Source organism: Homo sapiens, chromosome 10 (genome assembly GCF_000001405.40).
Source record: "Homo sapiens chromosome 10, GRCh38.p14 Primary Assembly".
NCBI lineage: Eukaryota > Metazoa > Chordata > Mammalia > Primates > Hominidae > Homo > Homo sapiens.
Genome location: NC_000010.11, coordinates 133,120,097 through 133,131,675, shown reverse-complemented (window position 1 = coordinate 133,131,675; position 11,579 = coordinate 133,120,097). Strand labels below are relative to the sequence as shown.

Below are 11,579 nucleotides of genomic sequence, written 5' to 3'. Positions count from 1 at the left end.
TCAGTATAGAAACACACAGAGGTTTAATGTTCAATGTTGACTTTCTTTGGTTGAATGGTGGGACGCCTCTCTGCTCAGCCGGGGGCACTGAGGGTGGAAAGTTCATGAGGGGCTGCAGGGGCCAGGGAGAGCAGCCCTGCCCCAGGATCCAGGACACAGACGGGGGCCACACATTCAGGTGCCCCTCTACCCCATCGAGGGTGAGAAAAACACACGGGGATGCTATTAACCAGCCTCACAAAGAACAAACAATGCCAAGACTGTATTTTTGTGTGGACGGTTCTGCACCTACAGTGCGTACACAGCACAGCGTGGGGATTCGGGTTCACATCAGCTATGGAAGCAGGTGAGAAGGTGAGGCAGAGGCAGAGCCACCTGGTGGTCCTCCGACGGCCCGTCTGGTCGACCTGTAAGGACACACGGGGTTTGCTGGGAGGAGCACGCTGTGGGTTACTGAGTCACGGTCAAGTTTACCGACACCCCGGGAAGTGAGGCTCCTCATACTCAGATACTGAGTGCCAGTCTCCGGAGAGCCCTTCCACCGAGCAGGTGCTGGGAACACTCCCCGACACCCCTCTTCTCGGAGGTGCACGTTAGGGAGGCTCTGCTCCTGGTGAGACCTCCCAACCGGATAGCACAGCGCACCGACGAGTCTGCTGACGTTGACGTTTGCAGGGTGAAACAATCTCCAATGCAAACCCAGTGTGTGGGTGGCTGGAAAACACACTACTACGTGTGTGTGCACATGTGCACAGCAGGTGCAAGTGTGTGTTAAGTATGTGTGCACGTGTGTTTGTGTGTGATATGCACGTGTTTGTGTGTGTGCGTGTGTGTGATATGCACGTGTTTGGGTGTGTGTGCGTGTGTGTGATATGCACGTTTGTGTGCATGTGTGTGATATGCACGTGTTTGTGTGTGTGCATGTGTGTGATATGCACGTGTTTGGGTGTGTGCGCGTGTGTGATATGCACATGTGTTTGTGTGTGTGCATGTGTGTGATATGCACATGTGTTTGTGTGTGTGTGTGTGGGTGCACATGTGTCACAGACAAGGAGGAAGAGGGAGGGAGGGAAAGCTGTGCACAGTTTCACACCCATGACCCTCTGGACTCCCTCCCACCTAGGGACGGGCCACTTGCTTTCACAGAAGTCTTGCTGTCATCCACATCTGTCCTTTGAGTCAGGGCTTGGTACCCAGATGTTCATGGAGACGAGAAAAAGGGAAAGGGATTTTGTCCATGAGAATCTCCCGTCTGTCAGCCCCTTTTCTTTTTGGAATAAACCTTCGTGTTGCTAAGTGCCTATACTGGAGTGGAATCCAGTCCCAGCGGTGGCTGGTTTTGGAAGTCGAGTCTTCACTAAAGGATGTCTGGGCATTTTCCCAAGCCTTGGGCCCGTGAAAGCCCCCCATTGGCCCTCTGAGGCTGACAGCCATCCCCAAAGTCCAGAGCAGCCCCCAGCATCTGTGGTGCTCTCAGCCCTGCAGGGCTGGGGCTACGACAAGGACAGGGCTGACAGGGCACACTGAGTGGGCAGAGGTGTGCAGGGGCCCTGTGAAGCTGCAGGGGTGGCTCAGACACACGACAGCGGAGGGTCCCGAGGGTTCTGCCCAGAGCGAGAATGCTGGGGACAGACCTGCCGCCGCCACCCCCGGAGTAGAACGCAAGACACACACATTGAACACTGGGAAAGGTCAGGGCAGCCCCCTCCTGCGATCTCGGCCCTGCCCGGCCACACCAGGGGAAGCCAGGACTCCGTGGGCAGCAGGGCATCTCGGGCAGGGCCATGCTGGGGTCTCAGTGGGTCCTTTGATGGAATCCCCTGCTCTGCCTCTAGGGTGCCCCAGGACTGGAGACCACAGGACAGAAACCGGATGACCGTGTGCGGGACCAGCACGCGGAATTGGGATAAGGGGAGTGGGCGTGGCCCGGAGCGTTTCCCCGCTGAGGTCTTTCACAAGGAAGGGGCAGGGGTGTGATCACAAGGAAGGGGCAGGGGTGTGATCACAAGGAAGGGGCAGGGGTGTGATCACAAGGAAGGGGCAGGGGTGTGAACGGCTTCTGAAAGGCGGGGTCACTTCGGTACCCCCAGTGACCTCATGTGGCAGATGGGCCCCCCACTCTGCTCTGAAGCTCCTCCAGGAACACCGTGTCCTCTGCCCCCATCTACACAGTAGTTTCGTTTTTCCAGGGTCCCGTTCGGATGTTGCCGGTCCCGTCGGTGCCAAACGGCAGGCCTTCTAGCAATTTACCCTTGGGCAGCCCGTTCTGGCTGGGGCCACCAAAGGGCAGGGACTGTGTCCTCCGCAGCATCTCCAAGTGGCCGGGCCCGAGCGCTGCCTCCCTGCCCGGCTGCGTGGGGCAGCTGTAGAGGGCAGGGCTCCCATCACTGCCCTCGGGCTGGGTGACCATGGGGAAGGGGTCGCCCTGGGTGCAGCAGGCCAGCGTGTGTGTCCCCGCCGGGCCATCCAGAGAGCTGGGGGGGCTGTCTGTGCGCGAGCTGCGGGGGCTGCCATCCAGGCTGGATGGGATGTGGTAGGCGTACTCGGGCTCCTCTGCTGGGTGCCGGCTAAAGTAGGGCGGCTTAGTTCTGCCCTGAAGGCACCCGTGCAGGTGGGGGTCGTGCCCGAAGGCGCCCTCCTCCTGCAGGTGCACGTGCGCCTCGTCCGCCGTCAGTGGCTCGCAGTGCATCTTGGCGCAGCACGGGGTGGCCGGTGACAGGCAACTGGCGTGGCCCTGCGCGGCCTGCAGGTTGGTCATCTTGCAGGGGCCCGGTGGGTGCGCGAAGCCCCGTGGCTGGCCCAGTCCCGGCGAGTGCAGGCAGGCGGCGCGGCCCAGCGCGGCCCCGTTGGCGTCAAGTGCGGGGTGGGCGTCCTTGCGGGGCGGGCAGCATGCCCACCAGCACTGCCACACGTCCTCACGCTTGGCGCAGTGGTGGATGAGCACGAAGAGTCCCAGGGTCACGCAGAAGGCGCCGTACAGGCAGCTGAAGACCATGTCCAGGAAGTGGCCCTGTGACACCGCCAGCGCCCCGAAGGCCCACGTGGCCGTGAACAGGAACAGCGTGAAGGCGGCGGCGCGCAGCTGTGCCTGGAATGAGTGCTCGTTCTGCAGCACGGAGGCGCCGGGGGCATCGTGTGCGGGTGGGGTGCCTGGCCGGATCCCACGGCCGCCCTCGGGTGTCGCCAGCCGCCGCTGCTCCTCGGGCTGTGTGCGCAGCTCGTACCTGCGCCCTGGGTGGCGCCGCAGCTGCACGTAGGTGCCCAGGAAGTACACACAGGTGACCAGGGTGATGATGGCGGCTGGGCCGTAGAAGGCGCCCAGGCTGGGCTCCCAGGCCATCCAGCAGCTGTGGGGAGACGCACGTCAGTGTCAGCGGGGCCAGCACGGCCAGGACTCAGGACGCCCCCTGCAGAGCAAAGGGCCCTGCACCCACCCGGCCTAGCGAGTGGCTTTGCACAGCTGCGGCTTGGGGGCCTTGGGCGTTTCTAGAGTCGCTGAGAGTGTGGATGGGAACCGGGCCCTATTGGCCCTACCAGCTTGGGAGGTGGGGTAGCCAGGAAAGTGTCCCAGGTGCGGGTAGAGGCAGAGCCAGGCAGGGGGCCAGGTGCAGGGCGGGTCTGGGTGGGCAGGGGCAGGAAGGACAGAGCTGGGTGGGTGGGGCTGGTGTGGGGTGGGTGGGGCCAGGAAGAGGTGAAGTGGGGTGGGCGGGGCTGAGCAGAGGGCAGAGCTGGATGGGAGGGGCCAGGCAGAGGGTGGAGCCTGGTGGGCGTGGCCAGCGTGGGGTGGGCGGGGCCAGGCGGAGGTGGAGCTGGGTGGGCGGGGCCAGGCGGAGGTGGAGCTGGGTGGGCGGGGCCAGGCGGAGGTGGAGCTGGGTGGGCGGGGCCAGGCGGAGGTGGAGCTGGGTGGGCGGGGCAAGGCGGAGGGCAGACGGGCGGGCCATCCTGGGGCCGCAGAAGGAACTGAGGGCCCTGAATGAGAGGTTCCAGGCTGGCTCTGGGCACTGATGGCTGGACCGCCGTTCCTACTCGATGGGGTTTCCCTTCTCAGCTGAGCTCTGTGCTGTTGCCAAATCGCTATTTGTCCCCAGGCCCCTCCCATAGAAGGCAAACCAGGCCTGCCTTGTCCAAAGGCAAAGATTAGGTTGGACTCCCTGGGAGAGGAGGGGGCGCTGCGCACTCCTCGGGGGTGCGAGCTGGGAGGGGCGCAGCTCTCGGCAAGCCCCAGGTCCAGGCCCAGGCCTTGCTGCTTCGTCCTGGGCTTCCCCACCACAGGTGCCTGGGAGGGACCTCAGGCAGAGCCCACCCGCTGCTCCCAGCTCCCGGTTCTGGGTGCCCGGTACTCACTACGCCGTGTCCTCGTCCTCTGTCCCGTAATTCCTGATGTTCGTGGCAGCCGTGACCCCACAGATGATAAAGGGGACCCCTCCGCTGACGAGGTAAAACCTGCCGGGGAGGAAGGCGTTGACCCCCTTGCAGACGCCGCCTGCATCCTCCGGGGTCAGCGCTGTCCCTCCCCCACTCCGCGGGGCAAGGGAGAGCAGCGGGTGCGGGCGGAGCAGGAGGAGACCAAGAACCCCGACCCCCGACCCCCGACCCCCGACCACTGACCGAGCAGCCAGTGCCGGCCTCGCTGGCCTCCCGCGGGCCTCTGCGCCTGGAGAGGGCCCTGACCAGGTCCTTTCACGGGTGGGCCCCGGGAGAGCTCCGTTGGCTGCGGACTTCTCTGCAACTGCAGGGAGCCCCTGGCTACAGGCGGGACTGCTCCCCGGGGCAGCGTGGGGTCACACAGGGAGCTGTGCGTCCCACCGGGTCCCCAGGTCATGGCCCCTCCCCGCGGGTAGTGCGTGGCCAGTGACCAGCAGTGCCCCGTTTTAAACAGTTTTAAGGCCCCGCTCAGCCTCAGGGGAAGAAGGTCGGAGGGCCGAAGTATCTGCTCCCTGTCAGACCGAGGAACCCCGCCTTGGAGGGGCAGAGTCTCATCCTGACAGGCACAGCCCGAGCCCAGGGCAGGGGCTGACCTTCCCCTCTGCAGGGCCTGGCAACGGTGCTGAGGGCGCCCAGGGATCCAAGCGGGATGCAGCGTGTCCCGGACCGGGTGCACTTGCTCACCGCCTCCAGCCCCCACCCGGACCCATGAGACAACCCCTGGCTGCCACCCCTACGGAGCATGGGTGACCTAGGGGCCGGCTCAGAGACCATCCCCCATGGACGCTGTCTCCCCGGCTCCTGCGAACACCTGGGTTGGCCACAGACCCCTGCCCCACACGTTCAGTGGGCTCCAAGGTGCAGTGGTGGGAGGGGGTGGCCTGTGTCTGGTAGTTCTCAGGGACTCCCTAGGAAACCTGTGCTTCCCAGACTCTATATCCCAAGAAGATATCCTTCAAGAATAAAGATGAAATAAAGATACTTTCTGATAAAAATAAAACTAACAGCATTTTCCGTGTATCGACCTGTACTTCAGGACATGTTAGATGAAATTCTTCAGGGTGGAGGGAGAGTAGACACTCCTGCAGGCACCGCACCTGTGGAAAACCCCAACCAGACCTGCACGGTGGGCCTTGGGCCGAGGGTCCGTGCTGCGGACTTCACCAGAACAGCAGGAAGCCCCTGGGCTGCTTGGGGGGACTTGGACTGTGCGGAAGGAAGGAGAAACACCAGAAACGCTGAAGGATAAATAGAAAAGATTTGTCTCCCCCTTCTTAATTTCCTCCCTCTTTCAATGACTGTTTAAAGAGAGAACTTTAGCAGTGCCTTGTGGAGGGCACTGGGGATGGTGCTCTGCCCAGCATCTGCAGGAGGAAAGGTGGGAGGCAGGAAACGGTCCTATATAGTCTCAAGTTTTCTGTAAATATGTTATATGAAGAGAACAATTTTACTCTACATAGGCTGTGGAAAGGTTGCGGATTTTAATCCATTAGAGCAACCATAAGAAACTAGGTAAAAACTAGGCAGGGCACGGTGGCTCACGCCTGTAATCCCTGCTCTTTGAGAGGCTGAGGTGGGCAGATCACGAGGTCAGGAGACCGAGACCATCCTGGCTAACACAGTGAAACCCCGTCTGTACTAAAAAATACAAAAAAAAAAATTAGCCGGGCGTGGTGGCGGGCGCCTGTAGTCCCAGCTACTCGGGAGGCTGAGACAGGAGAATGGCGTGAACCCAGGAGGCGGGGTTTGCAGTGAGCCGAGATCGCGCCACTGCACTCCAGCCTGGGCGACAGAACGAGACTCCGTCTCAAACAAACAAACAAACAAAAACATTAAAACAAATTTTTTAAAAATATTAAAATAATCCAAAAGAAGGAAGTAAAGGAGAAATGGAAGAATTCCAAAGAGCAAAACAATCACTTAAAGTGGTAAAAACGGAAAACAAACAGTAAAATGTAGACTAAATCCAACCAGATCAAAATTCCAATTAATTTTAACAAGCTAAAAGCTCCGATCCAAAGGCAGAGGTTGTCAGAATAGATAGTAAGCTTCTGGAACATGGTGACTAGAATAGAAACACTTTGAGTATAAGACACAAGTAGGTTGAAAGTAACTGGATGGAAAAGGCCATGCAGTGCCAACTGTGAGATTAAGAGAGCTACAGCGGCTACACGGATGCCCGGCAAAGTAGACGATAAGACAGGGAGATAGAGGGGCCCAGGGGACGCAGAAGTGTCCAGGATGGACCCACAGCACACAGGAGTGGTGCAGGACGGACCCACGGCGCACCACCGGCTCCGGGCTCCTTCCCGGTGAGCCGGCAGAGGGCGCGGGAGGCCGCCGCTTTTCTCGCCGCCGCCGCTGGGCAGTCACCGCCGTGGACGTGCAGGCGCGGGGCCGGGGCCGGGGCCGGGGCCGGGGGAAGGGGGTGCTCCGCTGGGTCCAGCATCCACCATCCACCGCCTGACGTGGGCCCCTCGCAACAGCCTCGGCCCACCGGTGTCCGGGGAGTTGTTCCCGCCCGTCTGGCAGCTGGGAACACCCTCTCCTATGGCTCCAAGCCCCAACCAGGGTAGGGGTCCAGCTTGTCCTCCTCCTCTGGGCGCTGACGAATCTGTCACTCAAGCGTCATCTTCTGTTACGTCGAATCCCGTCTAAGCCCCAGGCAGACTCTGGGCGTCGGGGAATGGCCACCCCACCCCTCTGTGCCCAGGTGCCCAGCGTTGGGGCAGCGGCTCGCACGCCAGGGCCACTCGCTGGGACATCTCCGGGTTACGTGATTTCCGCGAGTCAGGCCAACCACTGCCTTTGGGGGAAGGTTTCTAGAAAGGGAGGGCGGATCTGAATCTCGGTGAAATCCTAACAGCTTCCCCTTGGGAGCTATGAACCCGACCCAGAGGTGTCCGGAGGGGCAAAGCGGGAGCTGACTCACGGCAGAGCACATTGCTCAGAGCCCGGGGAAGGTGGCCTGGCCAGGGAGGGTGCAGAGCCGGGGAGGGTGCAGAGCCCAAGAGGGTGGCTTGGCCGGGGAGGTTGCAGAGCCGGGGAGGGTGCAGAGCCCAAGAGGGTGGCCTGGCCGGGGAGGGTGCAGAGCCCAAGAGGGTGGGCTGGCCGGGGAGGGTGCAGAGCCTGGGACCAGCCCTGAGTGCATCACCACGTGACCCAGTGCCAAGTGAGGGAGGAGCGGCCATCAGTGCCGGGGCAGGTAGATGAGCATCGCACAGGAGAACAAGAGCTCGGTCCTATGTCGGCTGAGTAACACCCCCAGACATCCACGTTCTCTTCCCTGAAACCAGTGAAGGTTTCACCTCACGCGTCAAGAGGGACCTTGCACATGGGGTTAAGTGAGTGGCGGTGAATGGTGGAGACTGCCCTGGGTTGTTTGGCTGTACTGACATCACCGGCGTCCTCTTAAAAGGGAGGGCAGAGATCCCAGTGGAGAGAGGACGCAGGGCTGCTGGCTTTCAGGGTGGAGGAGGCCCCAAGCCCAGGAGTGACGGTGGCCGAGGCAGCCCCAGAAGGTGCCGGGGGGGGGGAGGGAGGCAGTCCTCCCCACAACTCGACGTCGGCCCAGCGGGGCCCATTTCGGACCTTACGGCCTCTCGACTGTCGGATGATCCCCCTGAGTTGCTTTAGGCCACTGAGCTTTCACCGTGGCCACAGCAGCCACGGGAAGGCGGTGCGGCCCCAGCTGTGCGGTGAACCCCAGCTACACACAGTTACAGGACGGGCGTGCTGCTGCTCACAGGGGGTGACTGGGGAGCCTCGTGGAGGAGACATGGTGTGGATGTGGCATGAGGACGGGTACCTTAAACCATCCCTAGAAGCACGAGGCACCCCAGTATCACAGACTTTGGGTTCCAAAGCTGACTCAGCGAAAGGGAAAGTCTCTGCCGCTCGGGCTGATGTGAGGAACAAACACAGGCTCCTGCCCGTCAGTGAGGAAGAGTGGGCGGCCCAGAAGAGAGCGGAAGAGACCTGCACACGCTTCACAGAGGCAAGAGAGGACGGCGCAGCCAGCAATGCTCACAGACGGGCGCAGAGGGACGGGCGCAGAGGGACTCGCGGGGCCCCTGCCAGGGATGGGCTTGTGAGGAGTTAGCAGGCTTAGAGCTGAGCCCCGCATGGGTGGGACGAGCCTGCAGACCACCTGAGCCCTCGGAGACCAACGTGCCACAGTCGGCAGGAGGGATAAAGGGATAAAGCCCCGTGGTCTCGCCAGAAGCGGGTCCCGTGCAGCCATGGACATGGGGAGCCCCAGCTACCGACGGTTACAGGATGGGCCTTAAAGAAACACGTGCAGGGAAAGAAATCAGAGAAATCTGCTATGAAACCAGGTGAGACAACAACTCCAGGAACACACAGCTCGAAGCCAGTGCAGCCTGGGGACGCGTGTGCCTGGGGACGCGTGTGCCTGGGGACGCGTGTGCCTGGGGATGCGTGTGCCTGGCTGGTGAACCGGGAGGAAAGACAAGGAGGCCCCAGGGCCAGGCCAGGGAGGCACGGCCAGGGGTGGGGCCGGCCCCAAGGTTCTCGCTTCTGCCCCGCGGGTCGTGACCACAGTTTCCTGGCTGTGCTGGTGTGTCCGGCCAAGACAGCAGGTTCCTGGGCGGTGCTGGTGTGTCTGGCATCTTCCTAAATGTTCCACTGCACACTCAAAAATGATTAAATCTAGAAAGTATTTTTAAAAGGAAAGGAAAGAAAAGAAGAAAGAGACAAGAAACAGGCCTGTGGTGCAGGTGGAGCTTCGCAGTAGAGGGGGCACCTGCAGCTGACCCTGCCCAGCCCCTCGCCCATTAGCCCCTCGGCCCCGTGCCCAGCCTGAGTGCTGCCGGCTCTGTGATCCCTCCTGGCACACTAGCCCGCTGCTGGTTGGAGCTGATGGTCGGAATCAGCACACGCTGGGACACGGGGAAACGGGGCGAGGACGCAGACTGCAGGTGTGGTCCTGCCACGGCTCTGTTCCCGCCATGGCTGATGCTGCACACCTCTCACCGGTTGCAGTGGCACCATCACAGCCTGAGCGAAAAGGTCCTGGGCCCAGGTGCCACCCAGGGCAGCCCTTCTGAGACCAACACTGTGTCCCTGGGCTCAGGTGAGCAGCACTGCCTCTGCCTCCATGCTGCGCCTCTCCTTACACCACGCGCATGCTCACACGTGCACACACGTATGCTTGCATGACACTTCCACACGTACATGCCCCCCCACTCTCACACACTGGAACACACATACCACACACACACTGGCACCCATCACACACACAGGCACACACATACACACAGGCATGCACACTCACACAAGCACACTCACACACACACTGGCACACTGGACATGCACAGGCACTCACACTTGCACGCACGCACACTGGCACACACCACACACAGGCACTCATTCACACACGCACAGGCACACATATATGCACAGGCATGCACACACACAAGCACACTCACACACACACTGGCACACGACACGCACACTCACACTTGCACACACGCACACTGGCACACACCACACACACAAGCACACTCACACGCACACTGGCACACTCCACATGCACAGGCACTCACATGCACACATGCACACTGGCACACACCACACACATGCACACGCACACTGGCACACATCACACACACAGGCACTCACATGCACAAACGCACAGGCACACACATGCACAGGCATGCACACAAACAAGCACACTCACACACACACTGGCACACTGGACATGCACAGGCACTCACACTTGCACACACGCACACTGGCACACACCACACATGCACACACGCACACTGACACACTCCACGCACACGCACACACGCACACTGACACACCACACACATGCACACACGCACACTGACACACACCACACACATGCACACACGTACCCTGGCACATTCCACACACACAGGCACTCACACGTGCACAGGTGCACCTGGGCTTTGCAGGTCCTGAGTTTTTCACAGGTGGAGGCTGTGGGAACCCCGGGTTGAGCAAGTCCATCAGCGCCATTTTTCCAACAGCGTGTGTTCATTTTATGTCTCTGTGTCATATTTTGGTAATTCTGTAAATATTTCAACTTTACCATGATTACTATGGGGAGCTGTGATCAGTGATCTTTGGGGTTTCCATGGTAGTTGTCTTGGGCACCACAAACCACGCCCGTATAAGACGGTGAACTTAGTGGGTAAATGTCCCGTGTGATCTGGTCGCTCCACGGGTTGGCTGTTCCCCATCTCCCTCCTATTCCCCGAGCCACAGAAATATTGAAATTAGGCCAATTAATAACCCTACAATGGCCTCTAAGTGTTCAAATGAAAGGAACAGTTGGACATCTCTTGCTTTATTTATAAAACTAGAAATCATTACGCTTAGTGAGGAAGGCATGTCAAAAGCAGAGATAGGCCAAAAGCTCAGCCTCTTGTGACAAACAGCCACGTTGTGAATGCAAAGGATAAATTATTGAAGAAAATTAAAAGTGCTCCTCCAGCAACGCATGAATGATAAGAAAGTGAAACAGCCTCATGGCTGATGTGGAGAAAGTTTTAATGGTCTGGATGGAAGATCAAATCAGACACAATATTCCCTCAAGCCAAAGCCTAATCCAGAGCAAGACCCTAACTCTCTTTAACCCTATGATGGCTGAGAGAGGTGCAGCAGAAAAAATGCTCCAAGTTAGCAGAAGTCGGTTCATGAAGTTTAAGGACAGAAACTGTCTTCATAACGTAAAAGTGCAGGTGAGGTGAAGCAGCAAGTGCTGATGGAGAAGATGCAGCAAGTTCTCCAGAAGATCTGGCCAAGATAGCGATGAGGGAGGCTGCACTAAACAAGATATATTTTTTTTCTTTTTTTGAGACAGAGTCTCGCTCTGTCGCCCAGGCTGGAGTGCAGTGGCATGATCTTGGCTCACTGCAACCTCCACCTCCCAGGTTCAAGTGATTCTCCTGCCTCAGCCTCCCGAGCAGCTGGGATTACAGGCACCTGCCACCACGCCCAGCTAATTTTTTGTATTTTTTGTTGAGACTGGGTTTTGCCATCTTGGCCAGGCTCATCTCGAACTCCTGACCTCAGGTAATCTGCCTGCCTCGGCCTCCCAAAGTGCTGGGATTACAGGCATGAGCCACCGCGCTTGGCCTAAATAAGAGATTTGCAATGCAGAT

General features: G+C 59.6%; 1 protein-coding gene across 3 annotated transcripts in view, besides 2 other annotated features; it reads right to left on the bottom strand.

Moving 5' to 3' along the window:
• The window catches only part of ADGRA1 (adhesion G protein-coupled receptor A1), a 43,752-nt gene continuing 32,173 nt past the window's right edge, over positions 1 to 11,579 (bottom strand). For all 3 annotated transcript variants that reach the window (NM_001083909.3, XM_011540273.1, NM_001291085.2), the window contains 2 exons: positions 4,345 to 4,443; positions 1 to 3,347 (listed from right to left, as the gene is read on the bottom strand). In NM_001083909.3, the coding sequence (NP_001077378.1) occupies positions 2,165 to 3,347; positions 4,345 to 4,443 (1,282 nt within the window). In that variant the 3' untranslated portion in view covers positions 1 to 2,164. The remainder of the gene's footprint in view (positions 3,348 to 4,344; positions 4,444 to 11,579) is intronic.
• Positions 3,440 to 4,152: an enhancer, noted in NCBI's record as "H3K27ac-H3K4me1 hESC enhancer chr10:134941028-134941740 (GRCh37/hg19 assembly coordinates)". NCBI's record gives its function as "activates a minimal SCP1, AML or CMV promoter by ChIP-STARR-seq in naive H9 embryonic stem cells {active_cell/tissue: H9 hESC(naive)}" and the evidence as "EXISTENCE:reporter gene assay evidence [ECO:0000049][PMID:30033119]".
• Positions 4,153 to 4,864: an enhancer, noted in NCBI's record as "H3K27ac-H3K4me1 hESC enhancer chr10:134940316-134941027 (GRCh37/hg19 assembly coordinates)". NCBI's record gives its function as "activates a minimal SCP1, AML or CMV promoter by ChIP-STARR-seq in naive H9 embryonic stem cells {active_cell/tissue: H9 hESC(naive)}" and the evidence as "EXISTENCE:reporter gene assay evidence [ECO:0000049][PMID:30033119]".